At 35.5% G+C, this 27773-nt stretch overlaps 2 long non-coding RNA genes across 3 annotated transcripts in view; one reads left to right on the plus strand and one right to left on the minus strand.

Annotated features, from left to right (window-relative positions):
• LINC02046 (long intergenic non-protein coding RNA 2046) overlaps positions 1-16421 on the plus strand; it is a 119066-nt gene extending 102645 nt beyond the window's left edge. The window contains exon 5 of the long non-coding RNA NR_146712.1: positions 16242-16421. This is a non-coding gene — a long non-coding RNA (long intergenic non-protein coding RNA 2046). The remainder of the gene's footprint in view (positions 1-16241) is intronic.
• LOC105374147 (uncharacterized) lies at positions 307-26239 on the minus strand. Of its 2 annotated transcripts, XR_924566.2 has the most exons (4): positions 26168-26206; positions 25511-25684; positions 24885-24980; positions 307-1334 (listed from the first exon to the last, which is right to left on the minus strand). It is a non-coding gene; the product is annotated as an uncharacterized LOC105374147 (long non-coding RNA). The 2 variants fall into 2 exon arrangements; XR_007096282.1 differs by lacking the exon at positions 307-1334 and having other exon boundaries at positions 20475-24980; positions 26168-26239.
• Positions 26240-27773: the final 1534 nt, after the last annotated feature.

Raw genomic sequence — 27773 nt, forward strand, 5'->3', positions numbered from 1 at the left:
TGTTCTCATTGTTCAACTCCCACTTATAAGTGAGAAGATGTGGTGCTTGGTTTTCTGTTCTTGTAATAGTTTGCTGAGAATGATGGTTTCCAGCTTCATCCACGTCCCTGCAAAAGACATGAACTCATTCTTTTTTATGGCTGCATAGTATTCCATGGTGTATATGTGCCATGTTTTCTTTATCCAATCTATTATTAATGAGCATTTGGGTTGGTTCCAAGTCTTTGCTATTATCAATAGTGCCACAATAAATGCTATATAAAATTACATCCACACTTTATTTTTCTCCATAGCTGTTACCATTACCTGACATAACTTACCAACGTAGGGATTGCTTTTTGCTAGTATTTCCCAAGAAAACAGAATGATTGCTTAGAAAGGGAGAGAAGAGGAAGCTGAGGGTGTATGTTAGAAAGTGATGGAATTTAGGCTAATAAGAAAGGAAAGAAGAATATTTGGGAGAGGCAGAGATGTCAGGCAGAACAATCACTGGATTATACATCACAAAAATTTTGAGGATCAGGGAACCAGGATAAATAAGCCTGGAAAAATAAGAAGTACTAGTCAAGAATGTTGTTGTTTGTTTTGTTTTGTTTTGTTTGCTTTGGAAGTGAGAATTGTGGAGGGATTGCAACTACTGTCTGGTGTCATTTCCTTACCTTTATAGACACCCTGCCTAATGGGTTTTGGACTGAATTATTCAGGAGGGGAAAAGAAAAAAAGGGGTAGAGGATATTCCACTCTTACTATTTTGATGTATATAATTAGCAGGCTCTGTCTAGATAAGTATGCACCTATAGTAACTTCCTTTTGAAAAAATAAAAATCAGATCTAATGGAACATTTGCAAACTGCTTTTCTTGCACTCAGTAATGTGTCATGGACATTATTTCATGTTAAAAAATATAGATATATATTTTTAAAACTATATAATATTTCACTACTTGTAGAGACCATAATATAGTTAACCAGTAACTGATTGTTGAGCATTCATATTGTTTTTCTCACACTTTAATAGACAAAGTAAAATCTGTATATACTTGATTTCTATTTTGCATACTTGTTGCTATGGGTTTGAATATATTACCTCCAAAATCAGGTGTTGCCAATGTGAAAGTATTAAGAGGTAGAGTCTGTAAGAGGTGATTAGGTCATGAGGGTTCGTCCCTCATGAATGGGATTAAGACCCTTTTAAAGGATCTTTGCAGAGTGCTTGGTAGCTTACCCTTCCACCTTCCACCAGATGAGGACACAATGTTTCTTCCATCTGGAGAATGCAACTCTCACCAGTCGAACCTGCCACCATCTTGATCTTACACTTCCCAGCATCCAGAACTGTGAGAAATGAATTTTTGTTTTTTATAAACTACCCAGTTTGTGACAGTCTGTTATAATAGCACAAAACAGACTAAGACACATGTTTACATCCTTTGGGTAAACTTTTAGGAGTGGAATTATATAGCAAAAGACCATTAGATTTTAAATGTTGATATTAATTTACTGAACAAGCATTTATTAAGAATTTGCAATGTTTCTCAGGCACTATTGTAGTCTTTTTGAATATGGCAATAATCAAAACAGAAAAGAATGGCAGCTTTTATGAAGCTAATGTACTGGTACAAATATAGTTGAGATGATTCAATCAACTTATATTTCCACCAACACTGTATCAAAGTATCCATTTCCTCTTATCTTCACTAACTTCACTGGCTATTTCAAAACTTTAATACTTTTGGCTAATCAATTTTTTTCTTATTTTAATTGTTTCAATAATTTGCACTATTTGATTACTAGAAAAGTTAGACATGTGATAGGCTTATTAGTCATTGTATTTCTACTTCTACATTACATTTTTGTGCTGTTTGCTCTTTTTTTCCCTATTTGGTTATTTTTTCCTTATTTGATTTACAAAAGGTTTTCAAATGAAAAGAAATATAAACTTCTTAGTAGAGAATAATTGTTCAGGCTGCCGAAAAAATAAATATCCTTTCTAATATGAGAGAATTCCATGCTGCCTCCCACTCAGGAAGCCAAATAAGACATGCCATTTTCTCTCTCCAACCTAGTATAGCAAGTACATTGGAGTCAAATGCCCTAAGGATGGCCAATCAGATGCTTCTGTGGGGGATATTGAATCTAGAGGAGGTAATTCAATACAGAGAGTCTTTTAGAAATAATTTGAGATACCTGTGTTAAATAAAAAGCCCCAAAGCTTCCCCATGAACTCTTAGTGAAAATATGCCATTTTGGTACAGTGCCTTTGCTGTACTTGTTCCATCTTGCTTCTAATTAAACTTGCTTCTCAAGCCTTCCTGTTGGTTCTGTGAGCAACTCCCAAAACAACCTTTAGGCTAATGTTAACCAGTAATTTTCTGTTGTTTTGTAACTAGCAACATTATTAGAATAGGTGTTTCATAAATATATATTTCCAGCATAATTTTTCTAATATTTTGTAGTGTATTTGCCAAACACAATGTATTAATTTGTACTTAATCAGGTATATCAATATTTTACTCTGTGTATTCTACCATTGACATGTGCTTAGAGGGCTTCTGAATATCAAAATTATAAAAATATTCATCTATTATATTTTCTAGTATTTAAATTACATCATTAATATATGTGGAATTTATGCTTATACAAGGCATAAGAGCTTTATTTGTTTTCTTTATTTTGGTTCTCAAATATGTATCCAATTGCCTCTCACTTTTTTTTTTTTTTTTGTATAACCAGAACCTTGCTCAGTGATTCAAAAACTACTCTTGTCAGATATTTAATTCTTCTGCTAATTTGTAGAGACTTTGTTCTTTTTAATTGATCTGTCCATTCTTGGATTCTCATTACAGTTTCAATCAATCTAGTTTAAATGACACTTTCATATTTGATAAGGTTAGTCCCCTTCATTACACATCTTTTTCAGAATTTGGCTGGATATTTTTGTCCACTTATTTTTCAGGATATATTTTATAAATTTTTCAATTAAAAACCCTTTGTAATTTTGATTGCTGTTATACAAAATACACAGGCTAATTGGGAAAAATTCGTCAACGAAATATTTCTAGCCAAGACCATGTGATATTTCTTACTTACTTACCATTTTTTATGATCACCAGTATTTTGTTTTTATGTATGCTTTGCATAGTTCTTGGTAAGTTTATGTGCTTTATATCTTTATTTAATTGTATTTTAAAAGTGATTATTATTCATTTTCAAGGGAGTTATTGTTTTTGTTTATTTTTGGCAGTTTATTTACTAATTTTAATTCTAGTAGTTTGGTTTTCTCAGTATGTAATCATGTAATACATAAATCATTATAATTTAATATCATTTGTTCAACTTTTATCTTATTTTCTTGTGTGATAGGTCATGTCCAAGGTTTTATTTGTTATTTTTCTTTTCTTTTATTTAACATTAAACTTAATGCTTTTTTAGAGGAAAGTCACTACTAATTTTAAACATAATGTAGACTCATATTGTTAATAACATTAATTAAGAAATTGGTGGAAAGTCATTTACAGTTGTGGGAATGGGGTAATTTTGTCTCTGTTTGCCTTTTCCCTACATTTGCTGAAACTTTTGCAACAGGGGTCCACCCAGCCTAAAAAAGGGTGAAGAAAAGACTTCATGACCAACGAAAGTCCAACTCCAATTTCAGATGACTTTCCTGCATTGGAGTAAGGCAGCCATTTTGGCAACACATTTGATAGAACAAAAGGTTTGCCATACAAGGCTTTCAGTTGGTGTTTCTCCCCTTTTCTGTTATTGGTCCACTGTTGTAAAAGGTAGTTTCAAATGATTATTTTACATTCCTCCAAAGTCACACCAAATTCTGTGAGATTTTGGAATGTCTCCTTTCTGAAAAACTACACCCAACATGTACATAATACTGTATATCAATTGACCATTTTTCTTTACAAGGTTTGTACAATGCTAACAAAAAAATATGGAACTTTTACCTAAACCATATGTTGGAAAACTGAGTCAGGGTATATGTTATTTTACCATAGGTGACACAACAAAACTGATAACTGCTAATTTCCAAGGCATATCTTGCAGAGCATGCATTTTACAAAGTACATATAGAGATTAAGTCTCAGTAAGACTCAATCTGTCATTCATTCTGAGGCAAATTGCTCTCCAATCATTAACCTGTGAAATCAAACATATTATGTGCTTCCAAAATATAATGATGGAACTGCCATAAGATGGACATTCCCATTCTGAAAGGGAGATAAGAAAGAAAAAAGGAAGGACAGGTCCCCAGTCAAGTCCAAAATTTAACAGGGCATACAACATTAAATCTTAAGGCTTTAGAATAATCTTCTTTGGCTCAGTGTTCTGCCCTCCAGATCTACTGGGCCAGAGATCCTGCCTTCTGGACACACTAGGACTGAGATTCTGCTTCTGAATCTTTGCCTGGCAAAGGTTGGCTCTAGGTGGTCCTGCTTTCATAAATTTGCTGGACACAGCCCATATTGTAGTCTCATGGGTTGGATTGCTTGTGGCTCTCCACAGTGGAATTCACATGCCACACAGGTGGCTCCACCAGTCAAGGGTCACAAAGGAGGCACTGCCTCTAAGGCTCTGTTGGGTATTGCCTTGATGGAGGATCTCTGTTGCAGTTTCCTGCCTGGACCTTGTGGCTCTCCAAAGCATCCTTTGAAATCTAGGTGGAGGTAACTATGCCACCATAGCTTTGCTGGGCACAATGCTCACTTTACTAGGGTTTGTCAGGGCTGCACCTGGGACAGCAAAAAACAAAGCAATGGAGTAAGAATAGCAGAGTCCTTGATTTGTGCTATCATTGGGCAATGGCAGCTCCTTCTTTGAAATTTTTCTCACCCCAGGCCTTAGCACTCTAGGTCTCTGATTGTGGGAGCAGCCTAGATGATCCCTGAAATGTCTTGGGGGTCATTCTTCCATTTTTTTTGACAATGGGTCCTGGCTGCTGTTTAGATGGCTAAATAAACTCCCTATCATCTTGGTGAATAGTGCCTGGCTCCAGTTGAGATGGTCCATCCATACAATCCATAGTAATCTCTTATCATTTGGCCAAATCCTTGCTCTCTCCCAAACAGGCTTTCTCATTTTTTTTTCCAATATGGACAGGCTGAGAATTTTCTAAAATTTTAAGGTTTGTTTCGGTTTTGATTAACAATTCCATCTTTAAATAACTTCTCTCACCTCACTTTTAATGATACAGGTGGTCAAGAGGGACCAAGCTGCACCTTCAACACTTTGCTTAGATATTTACTCAGCCAAATACCCACTTGCACACTCACAGATTCTACTTTCCAAAAAAATACTAGAACATGAACATGATTCTTCCAAGTTCTTTGTCACTTTATAACAAGGATGTCCTCTCTTTCAGTGTCCAATAACATGTTCCTCATTTCCATCTGAGAGCTCATCAGAATGGCCTTTACAAATCATACTTCTGCAACATTCTTCCATTCATAACCACTTAGGTATTTTCTAAGAAGATTGAGGCTATCTCTATAACTGTACTGCTCTCCTTCTGAGCCCTCACCACAATCACTCCTTATGTTTTATTCATAACAATGTAGGCTTTTTCTAGCATTCACTTCAACTATTCCAACCTCTGCCAATTACCCAGTTCCTAACCTGCATCCACATTTTTAGATATTTGTTATAACACCCCCACTTCTCAGTACCAACTTTCTGTCTTAGTCCATTCAGGTTGCTACAATAAAATGTCATAAACTGGCCTATAAACAACAAAAAAAATATTTCTAACAGTTCTGGAGGCTGGGAAATTCAAGACCAAGGAACCAGCAGATTTGGTGTCTGATGAGTGCCCACTTTCTGATTTATAAATGGCATCTTCTTCCTGTGTTCTCACAGTTGGAAGAGGCAAGGGGTCTCACTTAGGCCTCTTTTATAAGGGCATTAATCCCATTCATGAAGATTACTAATAGGCAAAAGGAGTAGTCCAGTTTCTGGTCTCTGTTCACTCTCTGTCTACTCTCCTGAAGCAGTTCAGCCACTCTAACAGCAGCTGTGAAGTGATGTCAATGGCCCATTGTTGTTATGCATCATTTTCTACAAAGGTAGTTAACTTTGAGGGCTCTGGAGATAATGTGGCTGGCACAGATACACATATGTGATTTTATTCCAGTTTGCCTCTTTTTTCTTCATCGTTACCATTAAGATTGACAATAAATCTAAGGAAACTGATATACAGCAATGTGTGAAGGCAATGTATGGCAAAAAGTATTATTTGTTTGTATATTTGTTTTCCTTCCACAAGAGGAGTAGATCAAAAAATTAACAACCTCAGGGAAACAATGAGACATGGTCAGATCCTCTGTCTTCCAACTCTAGCACTAGACATGAGATGCTATTTATCTAGAGTAGAAGAAGGAGCTTCCATCTTTTTTATGAGTTCTCCTAATCAGGGAATTTATTGAGATTTGAGGGAATTTCCCGAGCTAATTTCTCACAACAGTGCTCTGATATCTTGAAGAGAAGTTGAGTATCAGTTCCAAGAGTCATGTTGAACTTGGTATGACTATCTGGAAAAAAATGTCTTGAAGTTTAACAGGAAATAGTTGCTACTGTTCTCTATTTCATTGCTGGTGGCTATTTTATTCCCCCAGTTCCTTATGTCTTATTCATTTTGGACAGATCCTAGGAGTGAGGAAAGGCAACATCTTTGGCTCCATCGTTTTGAAAAGTTTTTCTTTATACATACTTGTTTTGTTCTTCATTTCGTTTATTTAACAAAGTTAGTTTCTAGGAACTAACCCGTGGCCAAGAAAGCAAATATTAAATGAGCTCTCTCTTCTCTTGGTAATGAGGAAAATATCTAGATATTTCATGGTAGATAATTACAACTAAGAGTGATGAGGTCATTTGAATCCATAGTATCATAAACTACAGGTTTTTTTTTTTTTAGAGATAATGGACATTGTACAAGGATGTAATCAGCCTTTTTATTGAAAATCAATTTTACTTCTCTACTTCTAAAGATTGTGTGGTAGGAGCTCTGGAAAATTGAGTATTATTTTCAATGAGGAAACCTGGTGAGGAAATTGTTCTGCTGTGAATGGCAACAAATTAAAACCACAAATTAACATGAATCCACAGGAAATATTGAATATCATTTTAACTTTGTCATTTAACCAGAGGTACTCCAAGTTACACTGCATTTACAACAGTAAAAACAGAACTATAACTACCACCATACTTACTATGTTTTTAATACTGGAAACTTAAAAATTGAGAAATTTGCCTTAGTAACATTTCCTCAGAAGATGAGCTACTTGGGTGTTTACATAAACTCATTTTTAAAAAATGTTCATGTATTGAAATACAACTTCACTTTTAAAGAAACAATTCTTCATGGAATATCAAATTTATACACTGTTGTTTGAAATATTAACCTTTTACATTTGTGTAGTTTCCACATCCTATTTACCAAACACATACACAAACAAACACTGCTATTATTTCACTATGTAAATCGCCATTTATTTTTGCAATAATCTACATTAAAATTACTAAGACACATCTCCCATTTTCTTAATCTATCTACGACTATGAACAAAAATATTCTGGCACAAAATTTCAATGTGTTTTGTAGCCATACATGCCATAACATAACATAGATTTTCTTTTAAACTAAGGCTTTTTGGTTGTTTGTTTTCTAACCTAAAAGCAAATGAGTGCTAGCATATTTAATAAACAATGCTACATAACAGTATATCTTGGTCAGACACAGTGGCTCATGCCTGTAATCCCAGCACTTTGGGATGCCAAGGCAGGAGGATCACTTGAGCCCAGGAGTTCAAGACCAGCCAGGGAAAAACAGAGAGACACCAACTCTACAAAAAAAAAATCTAAAAATTTAGCCAGGTGTGGTGGTGCATGCCTGTAGCCTCAGCTACTCAGGAGGCTGAGGTGGGAGGATCACTTGAGCCAGGAAGTTCAAGGCTACAATGAGCCATGATTATGCCACTGCACTCCAGCCTGGGCAGCAGAATAAGACCCTGAAAAAGAAGAAAAAGAAAGAAAGAAAGAAAAAGAAAATAGAAAAGAGAAAAACAGAATATCTTATACGATGGGAAGACTCAAGACTGTATGTCAATGCAATCTATTTCTCCAAACTTGCTATGCTTTCACACCTCTAAATATATCTATTAGCTATGTAACATAGCTAATATATAATATAGATAATGATTTGTTTTCACTTTTACTTCAGTTTTCACTATGCATATGGCAAAGAGACAAAACTTTATGTCTACCCTCTTAGGGTCTCTGTCTGGGCCTGAAAATTAAACTAACTAAAATAGATTACCTAGAGAAAAGCACATAGATGTTTACCTGTAGCTGGGAATCCCCACAGAAAAGTAAAGACCCGAAGAAACAGCAAAAACTAAATGCTTCTATGCTAGGTTGAACAAACAGTACCAATTGTTAAAAAGTAACTGAAATGAATGAGGAAGCTGAAGAAAGGTAAGAGTTATTTTAACAAGGTTTGTTTGTATAAATTTTTCTCAGCCTCAATCTCCCATCTCTGGTGACAAGACAGTACAGAGAGGTACCTCCTAGAACAATAGACCATCTTTCACATGGTAGCTTTCTCCTTTCTTTGGTGATAAGAGTGTTTCTTTTCTCCTGGGACATAAAGGGCAGAATGTCAGTATATACTATTTTTCAAATGTCTTTAGCTCAAAATAATTATTACGGCAAAGTAGCATATTTATGGGTGGCATATTCTGCCACCATTCTCATATAACAAAAGATTTTATCATTACTGTCTCCAGCATTTGTTTTTACACTTCCATTATTGAAGTTATTTTATTTTATTTTATTTTTTTGAGAGGGAGTCTTGCTTTATTGCCCATACTGGAGTGAAGTGGTGTGATCTCAGCTCACTGCAACCTCTGCTTCTGGGTTCAAGCAATTCTCCTGCCTCAGCCTCCTGAGTAGCTGGGACTACAGGCACCTGCCACCATGCCTGGCTAATTTTTGTATTTTTAGTAGAGGCAGGGTTTCACCATGTTGGCCAGGCTGGTCTCAAACTCCTGACCTTGTGATCCGCCCACCTTGGCCTCCCAAAGTGCTGGGATTACAGGTGTGAGCCACCACACCAGGCCCAAAGTTAATTGTTTAAATAAGAGGTTCTCTTTTAAATATAGGACTTGGATAAAGGCAAGTGGTTAGTTTTTCACAAATCTTACATTTCACATAAGGAAGCTGTATTAGTCCATTGTCACGCTATGAAGAAATACTCAAGATTGGGTAATTTATAAAGCAAAGAGGTTTAATTGACTCACAATTCAGCATGGCTGGGGAGGCCTCAGGAAACTTACAATCATGGCAGAAGGCAAAGGAAAAATAGGTACCTTCTTCACAGGACGGCTGGATGGAGTGAGTGCAAGCAGGGGAAATGCCAGACACTTATAAAACCATCAGATCTCCTGAGACTCACTCACTATCATGAGAAGAGCACGGGAGAACCACCCCCAACACCAATCCAATTACCTCCACCTGGTGCCACCCTTGACACATGGGGATAATGGGGATTACAATTCAAGATGAGATTTTGGGCAGGGACACAGCCAAACCATGTTAGAAGCCATGTTAACACTTTTGACCTAGGTAGAGGCCTTCATTAAAATAAATGTATAACAACAGAAGTGTTCACAAAACACAGTTAATATCATTTGATTTTTTTTTTTTTTTTGCTGTAGATATGAGCAAGCAACAATAGTTCTTTATTTGTAAAACAAAATTCTTAACTTGGAAACCATATTTTACTCTTTAAAAATCCAGAATATCCAGCATAGTGTCAGACATATAGTAGGCACTCCTCAAAATATAATAAATAAAATTTTAGCAAATCTAGAATACAAATATGAAGAACTGTTGTCTCCCTTATTAGAATATGGGCTTCTCAAAAATAATGGCCTTGATTTCTATTTTGTCTTGTCTATACATATTAAAGTGTTCATTTCCAATAAATAACTGGGTAAAGTTCAAAGGAAATGATTTTCTAATTATATTTAGGTATATTTTAAATTAAAATCTTTAAAAGCAAAAGTCAAATAGAAAAATCAAAGGTATACATAATAAAAAACTAAAATCCCGATATAATACAATTTAAATAGCTCAGAGAGTTTTGTAGACATTTCCAAAGTTTTGCATTCATTTATTCATTAAGAAAATTACTTACTGAGTTGCTCTTATAAATTAAGAATTGAAAGATGAAGGACAAATTCCCTGAACTTAAATGGCCTACAATGTAGTACAGGTAAATTAATAAAACATAATTTATACAAAAAAGCTAAATTTATGATACATTGAGACCTTGGTGACAGTTGCCTATGAGTCTGACTTGTTGGGGAGGTGGAAGTCAGAAAAGCCTTCAGAGAAGAGATGAATAATACATAAGTTAAGATTTACCAGCAAAACTGAGCTTCTGGGAGCAGGAATCCTTCTTTTATTTACTTCTGATAATTATATCTAATACAATGTTGAGCACACAACATTGTATTGTGTGCACCAAATAAATATTAAATAAAATTCTAATGAATCTACAACACATATTTAGAAAGAAAATACAGATATAAGCCTATAGACAGATATATTAGAACAATAGAGAGATCTAAAATAAGAGCAACTTTAGTGAAAAGACGAAAAATGGCTTCATTTTGGAAGCCATATATATGGCATTGGACATAGAATAGGAAGACAGAAAAAAGAGCTTATGCCATTACAAAGGTGAATGACAGAGCATGGCTTCTTTGAAAGGTACATGAAACTCAATCTTTTGAGAGTTCAAAATATATATAGGAAGGAGTTGATGCCAAACAGAGGTGAGTGACAGATGAAGAAGATCTTTAAAGAAAGTGAATGGAAAGGAGAAAAGACTAGAATGAGGAAGACTGGAAACAAGGTACTAAAATGGTCTAGACAATTGACAATGTGTTTCCAAGTGAAGATGGTGGTGGCAAAGGGTCAGAAGAGAAGCAATAAATTCTTATGGGTAGGATCAACATGACCTGGTGATTGACTGGATGTAATAAATAGGGGAGAATAAGTCTCATATTATCCCCAGGTTTCTCATTAAAGCAACCAGGTGTGGTTACTAACTGAGATTGCGAGTGTGAAAGAAATGTCAGGTTTGAGAAGGATGGTGCTAAATTTATTTTAAATTTGTTAAACTTGAAGCAAGTTCCAGTTACAGAATTCCAACTATTGGTTGGATATATAGATTTAGAGTTAAAGATAGAAATCTAACATGGAGACAAAAATTGGGTGTCATGGGAATTTATGTAGTTATTGACACCCTAGACAAAGTTGAGCTTGATTAAAGTGAAAAAGAGACTAAAAAGAAAAACAGGGCTGAAGAGAAATCCTGCATAACATGAGCCTTTTATGGGCTACAGAAGAATATGAACTAATGAATGAAATTGAGAAGCAACAGCCAGAAAAATAGAAAGAAAAACTAGAGGTGTGGTGTAACGGAATCCTCAGTAATATTGTAAAAGAAAGATAGTAATGGCAATTACCACGGGAATTAGGGAAAGATGAAGATGGTGGACTGTGTGGCAAGTAGGACATTATAGTTAATCATAATCTCAGCTTCTGTGAAAAAAGGAGAAACGGCTACATTTTTGGGCACTAAAGATTAAACAGAAACTGAGGAAGTAAACAGACAATACACAGTGACCTTTTTTTTTCTATAATCTTAACAGTAAAGGAAAAGTTAAATCCTGGACAAATTATTCAATGCAACCTAGGTACAACACTGATGATAACTTTCTCCTTGCCAAAAAAATAAACCGCGTAATTTCATGGATGCACAAGCTGTAAGTGTGTTGTAGACCATTATTTGTGGCATATTCATAAAAATTATATAAAACATATGTAGATCAACCAAATGAAAGTTTACATTTTAAAGTTATATAATACATAATATACAATGCAAAGTTAGATAAATAATATAAAACTGCATCTCCTTGTCTAAAGCTCTCACACAATACATTTATTTCTAATTGATTTCATGCCTTAGAGTAAAGGAGTAAAAAAACAGTCACCATTACTATTAAAGTAAAATAGAAATAAAGGTCTAATATATTACCTTTAGTATATTAGATATTAGATATTTAGGAAAGCTCAAATAAGCAATTTTGAGAATTCAAGACAAATCTGGATTTTTCCTCTGTTTTTAACTTAAGTTTTCCAAACATGTCACTGGGGTGGCTTCATGTTTAGGATTTTTACATTGAGGATAATGTTATACAATTAAAACTAAACATTTAAATTATATGTTAATATTCACTTATTTGGATGTTGATGGGCTAAGGGATTTCTATTTACAAAAAAAAGCAACCCTTACATTTGTTAAACTGCATCTGGAAAATATGATTTTGCCAATATTAGAACCCATCTGACCTTTTTGAACTGGCTTTAAATCTTTGGGGAATTTCATTTGTTTATCCTCAGAATAATATGACTTCCTGTGTTAAGAACAGAGCTTCTAAACAGCCAAAAGTCTTCTTGGATATCAGGTAGTTAGTTTCATAAGCAATATTTCAGAGGCTGTCCATGAATTAATTATAAACACATGAATTTTATTTTCTCCAATGGACAAACTGTTTTCTGTTTTGTTTTAATAGAAAATATTAGCAAAATACAGTTCAAATTTTGCTATACATAACAATCTGAATTAAAGTTGTAGAAACAGAACATATGTATCTTCTCTCTACTTGAAAATAGAATGTAATTTGTACTGAATACTTGGGGTGTGCTGTAACTTCAATCATATGTTAGGACTACCCAGTGTTCTTATAGCACCAAATATTTAGTGAATTCTCTAGGCTTGTGGCATTTGAGGATTTAACTCTGAGTTTCTACTTTTTTTACTAACCTGAAAGATCAATGACATGCTGTAATTATTAGTTTTTCTAAGGTACAAATACAAGTCAAGAAACAAATTCCTTGTATCTACATTTCAATGTAACTTTGTGGTTTTTCTACCCATCTTGTGTTAATAGCATTCATTTATTAACATTCATTAACATTAGTCTTTTGACAAAAATGTCCACAAGAAAAGATAGAAGTGTCAGTTAAAAAAAAGAAAAGAAAAGAAATAATTAAATTGTTTATGAGAAAACACACAGGAAACACATGACTTAACAAAAAGAGATGGAAAAGCTGGGAACTTCTACAAAAACTTCCACATTTGCAAATTTGGAAACAGATGTTCTTAGAAAGAGCTGCTCTTGAAAGCCTGTGGTCTTAAATTCAGTATCTTCACTGCAAATAACTAAATGATGCTGGACTTATAAAACAGAAGAGATGAATTTTTAAAAGACTGCCATTTAAAATTGTTTCACTTACTAGTAGATAATAACACTAAAAAAATAGCTACTATTTGTTAGATGCTTACTGTGTGCCCACTGTGTTAGTACTTCATGCAGTCCATTAAATAACCCAACAAGATAGCCTATAATTTTCCTCATTATACACCCAGGAAGACTGAGGCTCAAAGAAGTTATATAACCTCCTGAGGAAACCAAGTTATGATTATACAAGCTCATCAGCAAGCTCTGTTGGACTTTAGTTTGCTTTTTTGAGTGTTACTATGAAAATACATATTTCAGACATGGGCTATTGATTGCCTCTGGTAAGCTCATTTATTAGATTCTATGCAAAACATATATAAGGTGGATGGAGGGCTTAATATTGTAGGTTAAGTGAGTGGGCTCTGGAAACATGAGTGCCTGAGCTCAAACCCTGGAAAGGCCTCTTACTAGTTAGCTCATTTCAGACATGTTACTTATAATCTATGGTCCCAGTTTTCTCATTTATAAGATGTGTATAATAATAATACCTACCTAAGAGAATAGATATGTATAAAGCACTTAAAGCAGTGCATGACACTTAGGGCTAAATTATGTTGGCTATTATTCCAGTAAGCATACCTCCATCGCTATCATAACTGCCTTTTGTTATCTAACTATTTATGTTATGTTTTTCCTCCCTCTCCCCAGAATTTAGTCAATTCAGTAAGACATAATAACCAACAAGCTGATAACTATCCTGTTAGGTCAAGGACATTATAGACAAAAATATGCTTTTAAAAGTTTCAAGTATAGTTCTGACTACTTATTTCCCACAAATTTTTTTTACTATTCATGGTAATATTTATTTTGGAAATTCATTGTGGAATTATATATGCAAATAAGCTTTAAGAAAATATGACAGTTATTTTTTGCAAATGTAATATGATATGATATGATATTCAACCTGAGAAGAGCTAGAAACAAATCTTCAAGTTCCGCAAAAGAAGAGTTACTCAAAATGATACAGTCTGAATTAAGCAATCTGAATTCTTTTAAAAATGGCATTTAACTAGCAGACAGAAAGACAAGAAAGCTGAATCAACTTAGAAACTTCCTATATTTTGCAGCAATGGTGGTGTGATCCTTTAAGTAAAGGGAGATCAGTTTGATGTCATTTTGAGCTCATTGTGCATTGGAGCATAAAAGGAAGAGGTGGGTGGGAGCAAAGTTGAGCTAGAAGTCAACTGGAATGAGACACAGCAGGAGACGAATGGAGCAGTCAGACAGATGGGTGGATGAAAAGACGGGAGCACACAGGAAGGTGTTCAGTGATGACGCAGCTAAGAAGGTGGAAAAGGTTATGATATGACCCAATTACCACAAATAACCAAAAAAATAATACCTATAAGGATAGGATGCAAAGAAAAGATTAAAGCCTCATTCGAAATGTTTTCTGGAATTCCTTTTGCGGTTCTGCTCAGATTAAGTTATCTAACTATAATGTACTCAATTTATCTGACAACTATTACATTTTCTTATTTTATTATACATTCAGTACCCTAAATATATAATAACTGTTATTCCAAGGTACTTATGACTCCAAGTTTAAGACTTCTGTTTTGTTTTAAGATTTTGTAATAAAAGGAGAATGCCAATTGATGAAAACATAGTCTTAAAAAATAATAATTACATAACTAAACCTCCCTATCCAGTTCATATATTTATTGTTGCACTTATAATTTATTACTTTTTTGTAAGTGTGTTTCCCATACTAGACAATGAGATTTCTTGAGGGAAAATATATTTTATTATTTGGAATATGTAGCACGGGACCTGGCATGGAGCAGCATTCAAAATATTGGGTAGAAGGAAAAAGGAAGAAAGAAGGGAAGGACAGGGAAGCAAGGAAATAAAGGAAATCAGGTACGTATAAACAAGAGAAAATAAATGGTGCTATCACAACTTGCTTCTGCATTCTATCTTAAGCAATAATTTTGTGGGATAGGGTTCCATTGGATTTAGTGTTCCATGAGGGGTCAAATAAGAAAAATAGTGTCTTGCATATATATAGCACTTTATAATTTATTCTTTCATATTCATTATTTGTTTGATCTTCACAGTAACTTCATGAGACAGATTTTTTTTCTGTCAAATATTTTTTACTATTTATGGTAATATTTATTTTGGAAATTCATTATGGAATTATATATGCAAATAAGCTTTAAGTAAACCTGACAGTTATTTTGTGTGAATGTAATATGATATGATATTCAACCTGAGAAGAGCTAGAAACAAATCTTACAAAAGAATAACCTGATTCCCAGAGTATTTAAATGACTTTCCCAAGTGTATTTAGATAATAAATAGCAGAGCTTGAATCAAACTAAACATTTTCAAGTCCATAAATTTCTTAGGAATATAGTTTAAGTTACATTTTATTAAATCAATTGCACACAGTAGTATGCATTCCTCAAGAAGAGGCTCAAAGTTTGTTTTATATATACCAAGGAACAACAACAACAATAACAACAATAATATAACTAACATATATTGACTGCTTCCTACTTGGAGACACTGTTCTAAGAGTTGATGTGTGTTCATCTATTTAATCTTTATAACAAACCTATTTTTAAAAGTACTATTATTATGCTTATTTTATATATGAGAAAAATGAGGCGCTGAAAACTGAAGTAACTTATCCAAATTCATACAGTAATGGTAAAGCTAAGATCTAGCCATTATTATCTTCTAATAAAATATCTCTGTCCTTATTACAGTATAAAGTATGCACTTAAAATATGAGAAATTATAGTTAACTCATAATGTCTTCCTGGAAACTTTATACCAGTCTCTGAAGCCAGTTAGTTGTATTTTTTGGCAAAGTACTAACCCTGTTTTTTCTGCTTCTTTCCCATGAAATAAGGCTATATATACAGTGATGCCCATCTACCCCTGAGATCTAAAAATCTAAGATGAAAACGAGCACACAGTCTTGGCAGCATTGGGGTAACAGACTATGAAAGAAGAAATCAGATTGGAAAATTCAGTATATCAATGAAGAAAATAATCACTCAAGGAGAGGAATAAACAGCAAAACAATCTATATATTTAATTATAGATACAATTGTTTCAATGCTGATTATTCATCCTTATATAACTGTCTACAGCTATTTAGGGTTGTCTTCATCCATTTTGTGTTGCCATTGCAGAATACGTGAAACTGGGTAATTTGTAAAGAAAAGAGATTTTTTAACTTATGGGTTCTGCAGGATGGGAAGTTCAAGAAACATGACACCAGCATCTGCTTGGTTTCTGTTGAGGACTTTCATGCTTATATCACAACATGGCAGAAGGTTAAAGGGGGAGTAGACATGTGCAAATAGGCAAAACCTGAGGGGCATCTTGGCTTTATAACAACCCACTCTTGGAGGACTAATTCATTCTTGAGAGAACTAATCTGGTCTTGCCAGAGAAAAAATTCACTCACTGCCTACTGTGAGAATAGCACTAAGCCATCCATGAGAGTGGAGCCCCATCACTCAAACACCTCCCATTAGGCTCTACAGCTTACAGATTATACCTCCTAACATTGCCACAGTGGGAAACAAATTTCAAGATGAGATTTGGTGGGGACAGACCATATCTAAACAAAGAGTAAACAAGGGTAAACAACTTTTGAGAACATACTTGTGATCCTTTATTTCAACCCAGAATGATGCCAGAATTTTGGAGATGGGGCTCAGAGCAAATCAGTAAGTTACAATTCTCAAGTTTCACAGGGAAGTGGGAGTGAGAGACACATCATGGAGGACCACGCGACTCTCAGTTACACTGGGTGAATTGTCTTCATTGAATTCCCGCACCATGCAGACTCATTTAACGGTAGTTCTTCCAAAGCTGCTTTTCTGCTTTGCTTTTGGAATACTACTTTATCTAAATTTTCATCTACCCTTTCAATTCCTATGCTTCTTGTGTTGATTTCTCTTTTCCGACTTCTCAGATTTTTAATCTCATTTTTAAACATGAGAATTCTCTGAGGTCTATTTCTTGACCCTTTGTCCTCTTTTTAACTATCCCTTGGGAAACTTGCACAATCTAAATGACTAACTAGAACTTATGAGATTATGAGCCAGATCTCTCCCTGCTTATGAGCCCATTTCAATTAGATGTCTCAGCATCATTGTAAGTTAAAATGCATAAAATCCAAAACAATAAATTTTTCTCAAACCAATGTTATATCTGAAATGGTTATTTCAATGACTTTAATGACTTTCAATAACTTCAATGACCTTAGCTTCTTTCTGTTCTTTCCACAAGCTAGTGCTTTAATTTTTTAAGAATAAACTTAACAGATGAAATGATAAAGACATAATTTTTATGTTGTGTTATACTCTTGATGGAAATATTTCCAAATCTTTTGAATGAAGAGCTTTGAAGAAAAACCTGATCTTACTTTATCCAAAAATTCTTTTAAAAATAAGGGTTTAAAAATTACTAAAGAAAAAGAGTAATTGGAAAAGCAATTTGTACTTTCTCTCCTGAGTTAATCTCCATTTTCTCTATATCCATGATGACAGTAAAATATAATTAAGAAGAATACATGTTCTATTGATCAAAAACCACTTTTGGAAAATACTGAAATTACACATCTATTGCGCTCGCTCTCTCTCTCCCTCTGGCTAGCTTATCCCAACTGTTGTGTCACATGTTTTCGAAGTTACTATGATTATTTAACAATGTTGCAGCTAAAATGATGGACATAAAATCAACACTATAAAATATAGTCCCAGCTACTCAGGAGGCTGAGGTGAGAGGTTCACTTGAGCCCAGGAGAGTGAGGCTGCAGTGAGCCATGATAGTGCCACTCCACTCCAGCCTGGGTTAGAGTAAGACCCTATCTCAATCAATCAATAAAATAGTTTGAATAGTGTTTATTTTCTCAATTCTTGTTAAATAGCTGACATCAGATTGAGCTCTGAAACCCAAAACTCCTGGAGTAGTGAAGCGCTCTCCTTGACGGGAATCAGATATTAGTTCTTGATACGCCACAAGCAATCTGGATGACTTAAAAAAATACTAAATTCAACGAGTTTCAGTGTTCTTACCTGAAAATTGGGGTATTGGGCCAAACGACTCATACACTTACTAATTCTAATTATTAATTCTAATTCTAGGATGTTCTGCTTCTTCATCTTGTTCTCAGACCTTGTTCTCTGTTCTCTCACTCAAACAGAACAGAGTACCAATAAAATAGGTAAAAGTTGATTTGAAAAGCATTTTTAAAAGCTTCAAATTGGAATTATAAATATAAAGGTATTTGGTGTCCCTCCAGAAGAGAATTTAGAAAGATCACATAAAATACATTGTTATCTTTAGACTTGTGAGATTGGCCCCAGCTACTTTTAGAACTGTTCTTGAGTACTCAGTAGGGGGAAAGTACTTTTGTATATTTTAAAGTTTGTCATCAACTTCAGGATATATTCAGTTATGGTGTCATGTCTCATTTCAAGTGGAAAAACAAAGGTAAAAAGCCTAGTGGCACAATAGCATTTAAAAGCTGATAATAGTGTTTCTGCCTGATTTGGTGTAATTACCCAGATTGAACATGCTCAGCTTCAGAATTATAGGCAACCATTAATTATCTGTTCCCTATCCCAAAGTGTATATACTTTTCCTGAGCTTTTAGGGTTAGAAGTCAAAAGGAAATACAGCAGTTGGTTTTATTTAAACTTTAGTTTGTGGTATATTTTACAAGACTTTTGAGAGAAAAGCAATTTGTAATACAGGACTACTAACTTGCCTAGTGTTGGATAAAAGAAATATATATGCCAGCTTAACTCACTAACTATATGGACTTCAACAATGTCTGCAAACGAGAATTTTTATAACATCACACTATAATACAACACTTATATTCACTCTACCTGTAAATAAAGCCAATTTCTATAAAAATCGGGGGCCTTAAGCAAGTGGTACAGGAAGAATATTTCCTCCATTCTGACTTGCCCATGGATATAAGATATTGAAAGAAAGACATAAAGGAATAAAAAATGAGAAGTTCTGCTGTATGATTTCAACACTTTTTGGCATTTTCTCCAAAGACTACAGTAAAGATTTAAATTGTTGTTTAATTATTGTAAATACAAGACTCATATTTCATTAAATGCAAGAATGAGCCAAGACATGTTAATGTGACTTTATGCAAACGCAAAATTTTGAAGTTCCATTAATTTGCATAATTGTGAATTTTTCGTGATGGTATATCCAAAGTAAAGTGCATCCTCTTTTTATTACCGTAAACTTAGCATCTCCAAGTACGGTCGTGCAGGTTGTGCTCTGCACAAAGTTACCTTGCTAAGGAAACATGATTAGGATCTTAACTGAACCTGGGTTTACTTCTTCAATCTATGGAGCTGTGGCATGAAACTTGCATTCTGTCCCATACAACTTTGCAAGAAAAAACTTTTTCTAACTTCTTCGCCCAGAGAAGAAGCCTTTCTCTAACATGCTCTAAAGAATTGCAGGTGAAAACAAAGGGTCTTGATTCTTTTTTTTTTCCTCTAACATAATTATCTACTATTTTTGTTAAATGATATACTGTATTAAAAAGGGATAGTGTTCTCATTTGTCTTTGTTTTCCCACCATCTAACCCAGTGTCAGTCTCTGACTAGATCTGAATGGCTACATATATTTGCTGAATTAGTAGAATCTGGAGACAATGGAATAAGGTACTTGAGTTCAAATCCAAGACTTTGTGCAACTGCAGGGCCTGCCATGTAAATGAAATGCTATGGAAATACCATTTGCACCACCTGGAGTTGTGCAACACTGTTGTACAGCTTTCCATGGACTCCTAATTTGATAATGGTATGCTATGGCATTTTTAAGAATGATTATAGCAATTAATAAGTAATAACGAACTTTAAATGCACAATATGTCACAATACCTTGCTTATTCTTCACAGTAAGCAAGTAAAAATTTATATCACTATTTTTAGATGAATTCACTGAACCTCAGAGGGTTAAAATTACTTCTTGCCTAACATCACATAACCAGTATTTTTTGTGCCAAAATTCAAACACAAGTTAGTCTGATACCAAGGCATATGAACTTATAAGTTATATTCTTTTATATAAATAATTGAAAGAATGTCATGATTTTATAGAACTGCAGACTTCTATAGATGATTGAGTCCTAAGGAAACATATTTGCCATAACAATTACTCTGTGAGACCAGTAAGACATACGAATAATCTTTGGGTTAATAAAATGTTGTGTTATCTTAAATTGTGACACATACAAATACATATCAACATATTTTGACTCTGACTTTGGTGAAATCACAAAGTTCTGTAATATTTATTTAAGCTAGTGTTTAACATGAAGGAAAACAAACAAAACAAATGACCACCTAAGGCCTATCTGATTTTAGCTTAAAGGATATTCATTTAGGTAAAGACATCAAAGGGGGAGAAAAACGCAAGGCATCCTGGAATTATTTTTATTAAAATAATTTCTATATTTTAAAATACTCTTTCACATTATGCCATTTGATTTCATCTTGTAATAGGTAAAAAGACTCTGAGAAGACTAGTTATCACTAAAGGTGATGGTGCTGGTAAAAGGAAACTGATACCACGGCTTGTACACTGATCTGACTCTATATTAAGAACACTTTCATCAGGAATATTTTTGGATGCTACTGACTATTGAGAACACTGAGCAAATGAAATAGGTTTTCTAAAATGGATTGTTTTATAATAGCAAAGAAATTTACTAAGAACTGGGGAATTTTACCTACTTAGATTTGGCTGGAAATCTTATACTGATGAAAGCAAAGCAATTGTTATGAAGTTACCTTGCTAACTTTTTATGTCCGATGAGAGAGTAGAATTAACAAAGGTTACTACTGCTCTAGACTTAGATGATTATTATATCAAAAAAATTATTGATGAAACTAAGGCAGTAGGAAGCTTAGGAGAAAAGTATCTTGGCACATTCATCCAGGGAAGCAGTTCTAGACCTGGTCTCACATGCATTTTAGACTTAAGAGAAACTGATTTCCAGCAGTTTAGGGGACAAGAAAAATTATTGCTATTATCAAATATACTGAGAGGCAAGATATTTTCCTTAAAATGTAATAGCTATGTATCAGCCTAATAAGGATAAACCACAGGGAAAGAAGACATCTAAAGTACGGCTCCTCCGGGATGATGACTTGAGTCAAGGATGTATGGGTGAGTGGAACACATAAAAGGATCATGGGAAACCTTCACAGGTTTTTGATAGAAATGTTGAAATGTGGAGAAAGCAGAGGTGTGAATGAGTCTTAGGACAAAGAACAACATAAAGGGTATTTTCAAATATGTTAAAAGTTGGAACAATGAAGAAAAGTAAATAGCCCCAGTGTTAGGAGAAGGCAAAGTAATATCATACTTCTATTGTGCAGGAATGTATACCCACAGACAGAATTCAGCTATTTCTGTGAGTGATAGAAAATAAGCATTACTTTTAAATCCTCTTTTGCTCTTGGCTTCTTCATTAAGAAGAATGTTCTTAAAACCAAAACTGGTAGTCAAATGGGTTAATAACAGACAGAATTTCAAGTAAGGCCAATGAATCAGGGAAGTAACATGATATGAACACAAGTTTTAGGTTTGAATATTGATACTTCTACTTATGAGCTGTGAGATCTTCAGGAACTCATTGGATCTCTCTATGCAACAGCTTCCTTTTCATCAAAATAAAGTGTCACCCCCATGATGCTGTGAGGAAAAAAATGAGCTTCCAGTAGGCAAACACCTGACATGTAGTCCTTGTGCACATGCAGCACTCAATTACTTTAACTGTTGTTATTATGAAACATGGAGTCCTAGAAAACAAAATTGTATCTAATTAATTTTTATATCTCCATTCCCAACTTAAGATCCAAACACTTAGGGCTTAAATAAATATTTGATAAACAAATAAACAAACAAAAATCAAAATAATGCCAGAGCACTGGACTGTTTTAAATGAATTCAAGATCTTGGGTTCTGATTAATTTTACCTCAAGAGTCAAAACCTTAAGATATTATCATAGAATCAACTATTAGTTATTACTGAAGAATTGTGACAAATATGACAAATTCCAGAAATACAGAATAAGGAAATATTCCAATTTTTAACATGAGAGGATCAAATCCAGAAACTACTGACTGGCAATTTAGAGACTGATTCATAACATAGCTCTAGAGTGAAGCATTGAATACAAGGCCTGTGAGCACCTAGTACAGGAAATCTGTTTTCTAAAGTAAACCAAACACATGGAGCAAGCAGAAGAAACACTGTACAATTGAATTTTAGCCAAAAAAAAAAAGTCTATGGGTGCTTACACAATAAACAAACATGGTTCATTATTGGTCTTATCAGAAGGGAGTTCTCAAATGCTCCCATACTACTACTTCTTATTCTCTACCTCTCCCCACCCTCAGCTCAAAAAAGCTTCATCAATGATTAGAGCTATACAAAGATAGACACCATGTGCATGAGAGATGTCAATCGCTTTTCCTACGAGGTTCGGTCCCATTGTGATGGAATTTTCCACATCATATATATAAAATCTCACTTTCCCTGGCCGTGCTCTTATGAAACTCAAAAATCAAGAAGCACCTAAGAGATATAGAGGGTACTCTTGTTTTCAAAATTTGTTTCTTTTCTATCAATTTTCAACTACAAGACATAACTAAGAAGCTGCCACAAAAAGCGTTCAGAGTGGGGGAATTATTCTCAAACTATGTCTGTCGAAAATAGTCATCACGTTTTGGGAATACTTAGGCCACAATCATGTGTTGTGGTTGACCTGTTAGTGTTATTTTGTTCTATTTTTAATTGAAACCCATTTCTAGTACTTAGGGTACATGAACTTTGGCAGAATGAGAGCAAGTTCCTGAATTATGCAGTTGGCTGGAACTGAGTAAAAACTCTTCTTCAGAGAGTGTAGGTGCTCTTCATTTTGTCAAGCAAGCTGTCTTTTCTAACCTGGTCTTATTAATCTCCAAACTAAGTTAAAAACCAGAAGAAAGAGGTTATGAGGAGACTAATTTCAGTTTGTTACAAAGAAGAGTTAACATTAAAAATGTTCAAAATTTGGCTAGGCGCGGTGGCTCATGCCTGTAATCCCAGCACTTTGGGAAGCCGAGGTGGGCAGACCGTGAGCTCAGGAGTTCAAGACCAGCGTGGTCAACATGGTGAAACCCCATCTCTACTAAAAATACAAAAATTAGCTGGGCATGGTGGCATGTGCCTGTAGTCCCAACTACTTGGGAGGCTGAGGCAGGAGAATTGCTTGAACCAAGGAGGTGGAGGTTGCAGTGAGCCGAGATCACACCACTGCACTCCAGCTTGGGCAACAGAGCAAGACTCCATCTCAAAAAAAAAAAAAAAATCAAAATTTATAGGGACTTCCTGGTTCAACACATGGGGCTTGAGCCCACGTTTACCTTCATTCTTCCAAAGTGCCATGGAAATAACTATTTTTGTGTAAAAATAAATATTTATGGATTATGTTGTAAGATAGTAGGCTCCCTGCTAAGCAGTTTTTTAAAGAAAGATTAGCAAATTGTCCATATACTATAGAAATTGTTTCAGAATCAGATAAAAGACTAAATTGGATGACCCACATTTCTTCAAAATAAAATTAAATAATTTGTACAATTAAAAATGATTTTATATTCCAATCAATCCACCTATAAATATGTATTGAATATATATGCTATGTGCATTGCAATAGGTATTAGAGTGATATATTATTCTCCACTAAAGTTGCCCATCTCTCACCCTATTAATATTATTAATATTCCACTTAACCAAATAATTACTTTAGCCAATAAAATATGAGTATAAGGGATATGTGCCACTTTCGAGCAGGCAGAAGTTTTGAAAGAGCCAGCTTGTATATAGTTCCCTCTGTGTGTGTGTGTGTGTGTGTGTGTGTGTGTGTGTGTGTGTCTTTGTTTTGTTTTGTTTTGGTTTAGTTTGCTTTGTTTTCTTTATACCTCTCCCACAAGAGTAGCAATATCCCAATTAGAGGCAAAGTCAGCATGGGCACTGGAGTGAAGAAAACACATGAATGCCCTGCAACAGGAACAAAAAATAAACCTTTGATACTATAAGCAACTGAAATTTGGGGGTTGTTTGTTAGTCACATAGCTAATTGTATCCTGATTGATACAAATGGAAAACATTGAAGGAATTAAGAAGAATAAAAATTGAGAAGCCAATGTAATCAATATATTTTCTAAATGGATATGGATATTGAAGATACTGAGGTCTTCAAAGGATTAGTGGGCATAAAAAAGGTCAGCAAAGATCAGCAATGAGGCGTGGTTGAAGATGATTTAGGCAAATAACATGAGTTTCAAAGGATCACTGGCTTTACCAGTAGAGTAAAAGCAGCATTGACTATGTCAGTTATGATTAGGTTTGGTGGTCAGGGACAAAAAATCCAATAACAGATCGATATTTATTTATCTTTTAAATAGGAGTCTAAACATAAGCATTCCAAATGAGTTAGAATACTCAACTTATCAAAGATCAAGGCTTCTTTCTTCCTGTTGCTGTGCCATTTGTGGCCTCCATTCCCCAAGTCACAGCTATTCCAGCTCCACCATCACATCCACCTTCAAGCCAATAGAAAGGAGGGATGGGAAGAAGGGTCAGTTCTCTTCCTTTAATGACACTTCAGGAAGTTAAATAACCTATTTCTGCTAACACCTCATTAGGTACTTAACTCAGTCTCATGCCACCCAATTGTAAGGAATTCTGAGAAATAGCTTTACTCAAGATAACTATGACTCAGATAAAGTGGGCATTCTTTTAACATAGAAAGAAAAGAGAATGAATGACCAGGTTCAACCAGCAACCTTTAGACGTGGACCAAAACTACAGACCAGAATATAATATGGTTTGGGAGAATGACAGCCTTCCGGCCATTGATAGAAGCTGCGATGAAGGTGATTTCCTCAAGGAGGAGCCAGTGTCAAGAAGGATCAGTGAGGTAATTGAGGATGAGTAGGCATCTAACAAAGAACAGAAGTTTTAACAAAGAACAGAAGTTTTACAAAGAGCATATTTGCAATTTTGAGAGGCCAGAGAAAACAGAAGTGGACTGACAAAATTAAAGAGAAAATGGATTATCTAAGGGACTTACATGTTTAGTAATGGTTGGAGAAAATAGGGCCATGGTTGGGTTAGCTGGCTGCCAGTATGTCAAGATGAAAAGAACTCTTAGCTTCAGCTCATCAGGACTTGGCTTCATCTTGGGAAGACACTGATAATATAAGAGCTTGTGCATATTTGACAGCATCTCTGCAAGGTGGAGCTGCTGGAAGAGAAGGAATAGAGAAATCTGGGACAACAGAGACAGCCCAGTTTATGCTGCTAATAGAGACATACTTGAGTCTGGGTAATTTATAAGGAAAGAGGTTTAATTGATTCACAGTTCCACGTGGCTGGGAAGCCTCACAATCATGGCAGAGGGTGAAGGGGGAGCAAGACATGTCTTACATGGCAGCAGGCAAGAGGGTGTGGGCAGGGGAACTGCCCTTTTATAAAACCATAAGATCTTGTGAGACACTCACTATCATGTGAACAGCACAGGAAAAAAAACCTGCCCCTATGATTCAATTACCTCCCACTGGGTTCTGCTCACAATACATGGGGTTATTACAGTTCAATGTGAGATTTGGGAGGGGACACAGAGACAAACCGTATTATTCTGTCCCTGGACCCTACCAAATCTCATGTCCCTTTCACATTTCAAAACACAATCCTGCCTTCCCAGCAGTCCCCTAAAGTCTTAACTCACTTCAGCATTAACTCAAAAGTTCATGGTCCAAAGTCTCATCTGAAACAAGGCAAGTCACTTCTGCCCATGAGCCTGTAAAATCAAAAGCAAATTAGTTACATCCTAGATACAATGGGGGTACAAGGATTGGGTAAATACACCCATTCCAGAAATTGGCCAAAATGAAGGGGCTATGGGCATGATGCAAGTCTGAAATCCAGTGGGGCAGTCAAATCTTAAAGCTCCAAAACAATCTACTTTGACTCCATGTCTCACATCCAGGTCATGCTGATGAATGAGGTGGGTTCCCATGGTCTTGTGGTCTTGGGCAGCTCTGACCCTGTGGCTACTTTCACAGGCTGATATTGAGTGTCTACAGCTTTTCCAGGTGCATGGTATAAGTTGTCAGTGGATCTACCATTCTGGGGTCTGGAGGACAGTGGCCCTCTTCTCACAGCTCCACTAGGCAGTGCCCCAGTGGAGACTCTATGTGGGGGTTCCTACCTCACATTTTCCTTCTGTACTGCCCTAGCAGAGGTTCTCCAGGAGGGCTCCACCCCTTAAGCACACCTCTGCCTGGACATCCATGCATTACCATACATCCTCTGAAATCTAGGTGGAGGTTCCCAAACCCCAATTCTTTTCTTTTCTTTTCTTTTCTTTTTTTTTTTTTGAGACAGAGTCTCACTCTGTCACCCAGGATGGAGTACAGTGGCACGATCTCAGCTCACTGCAAGCTCCGCCTCCCGGGTTCATGCCATTCTCCTGACCTAATGATCTGCCTGCCTCGGCCTCCCAAAGTGCTGGAATTACAGGCATGAGCCACCACGCCCGGCCCCAAACCCCAATTCTTGACTTCTGTGCACCTGCAGGCTCAACATCACATGGAAGCTGCCAAGGCTTGGAGCTTTCACCCTTTGAAGACATGGCCCAAGCTGTACCTTGGCCCTTTAAGCCAGAGCACCAAATCCCAAGACTGCCCAAAGGAGCAAGGCCATTTTCCTCCTAGGCCTCCAGGACTGTGATGGGAGGGGCCTCTGTGAAGCCCTCCGACATGCCCTGGAGATATTTTCCCCATTGTCTTGGTGATTAACATTTGGCTCCTTGTTACTTATGTAAATGTATGCAGCCAGCTCGTATTTCTCCTCAGAAAAATGGGTTTTTCTTTTCTACCACATAACTCTGCTGCAAATTTTCTGAAATTTTATGCTTTGCTTCCCTTTTATACATAAGCTCCAACTTCAAACCATATCTTTGTGAATACATAAAGCTGAATGCTTTTAATACCCCCCAAGTCACCTCTTGAATGTTTTGTTGCTTAGAAATTTCTTCTGCCAGATACCCTAAGTCATTTCTCTCAAGTCAAAGTTTCACAGATCTCTAGGGCAGGGGCAAAATGCTGCCAGCCTGTCTGCTAAAACATAGCAATAGTCACCTTTATTCCAGTCCCAACAGGTTCCTCATCTCAATCTGAGATGAGCAGCATTTGGTCAAAGCCATTTAAAAAGTCTCTAGGAAGTTCCAAACTTTCCCACATCTTCCTGTCTTCTTCCAAGCCCTCCAAACTGTTCCAACCTCTGCCTATTACCTGGTTCCACAGTGGCTTCCAAATTTTCAGTTATTTTTA

The sequence above is a fragment of the Homo sapiens genome, chromosome 3 (assembly GCF_000001405.40).
Source record: "Homo sapiens chromosome 3, GRCh38.p14 Primary Assembly".
Taxonomy (NCBI): Eukaryota; Metazoa; Chordata; class Mammalia; order Primates; family Hominidae; genus Homo; species Homo sapiens.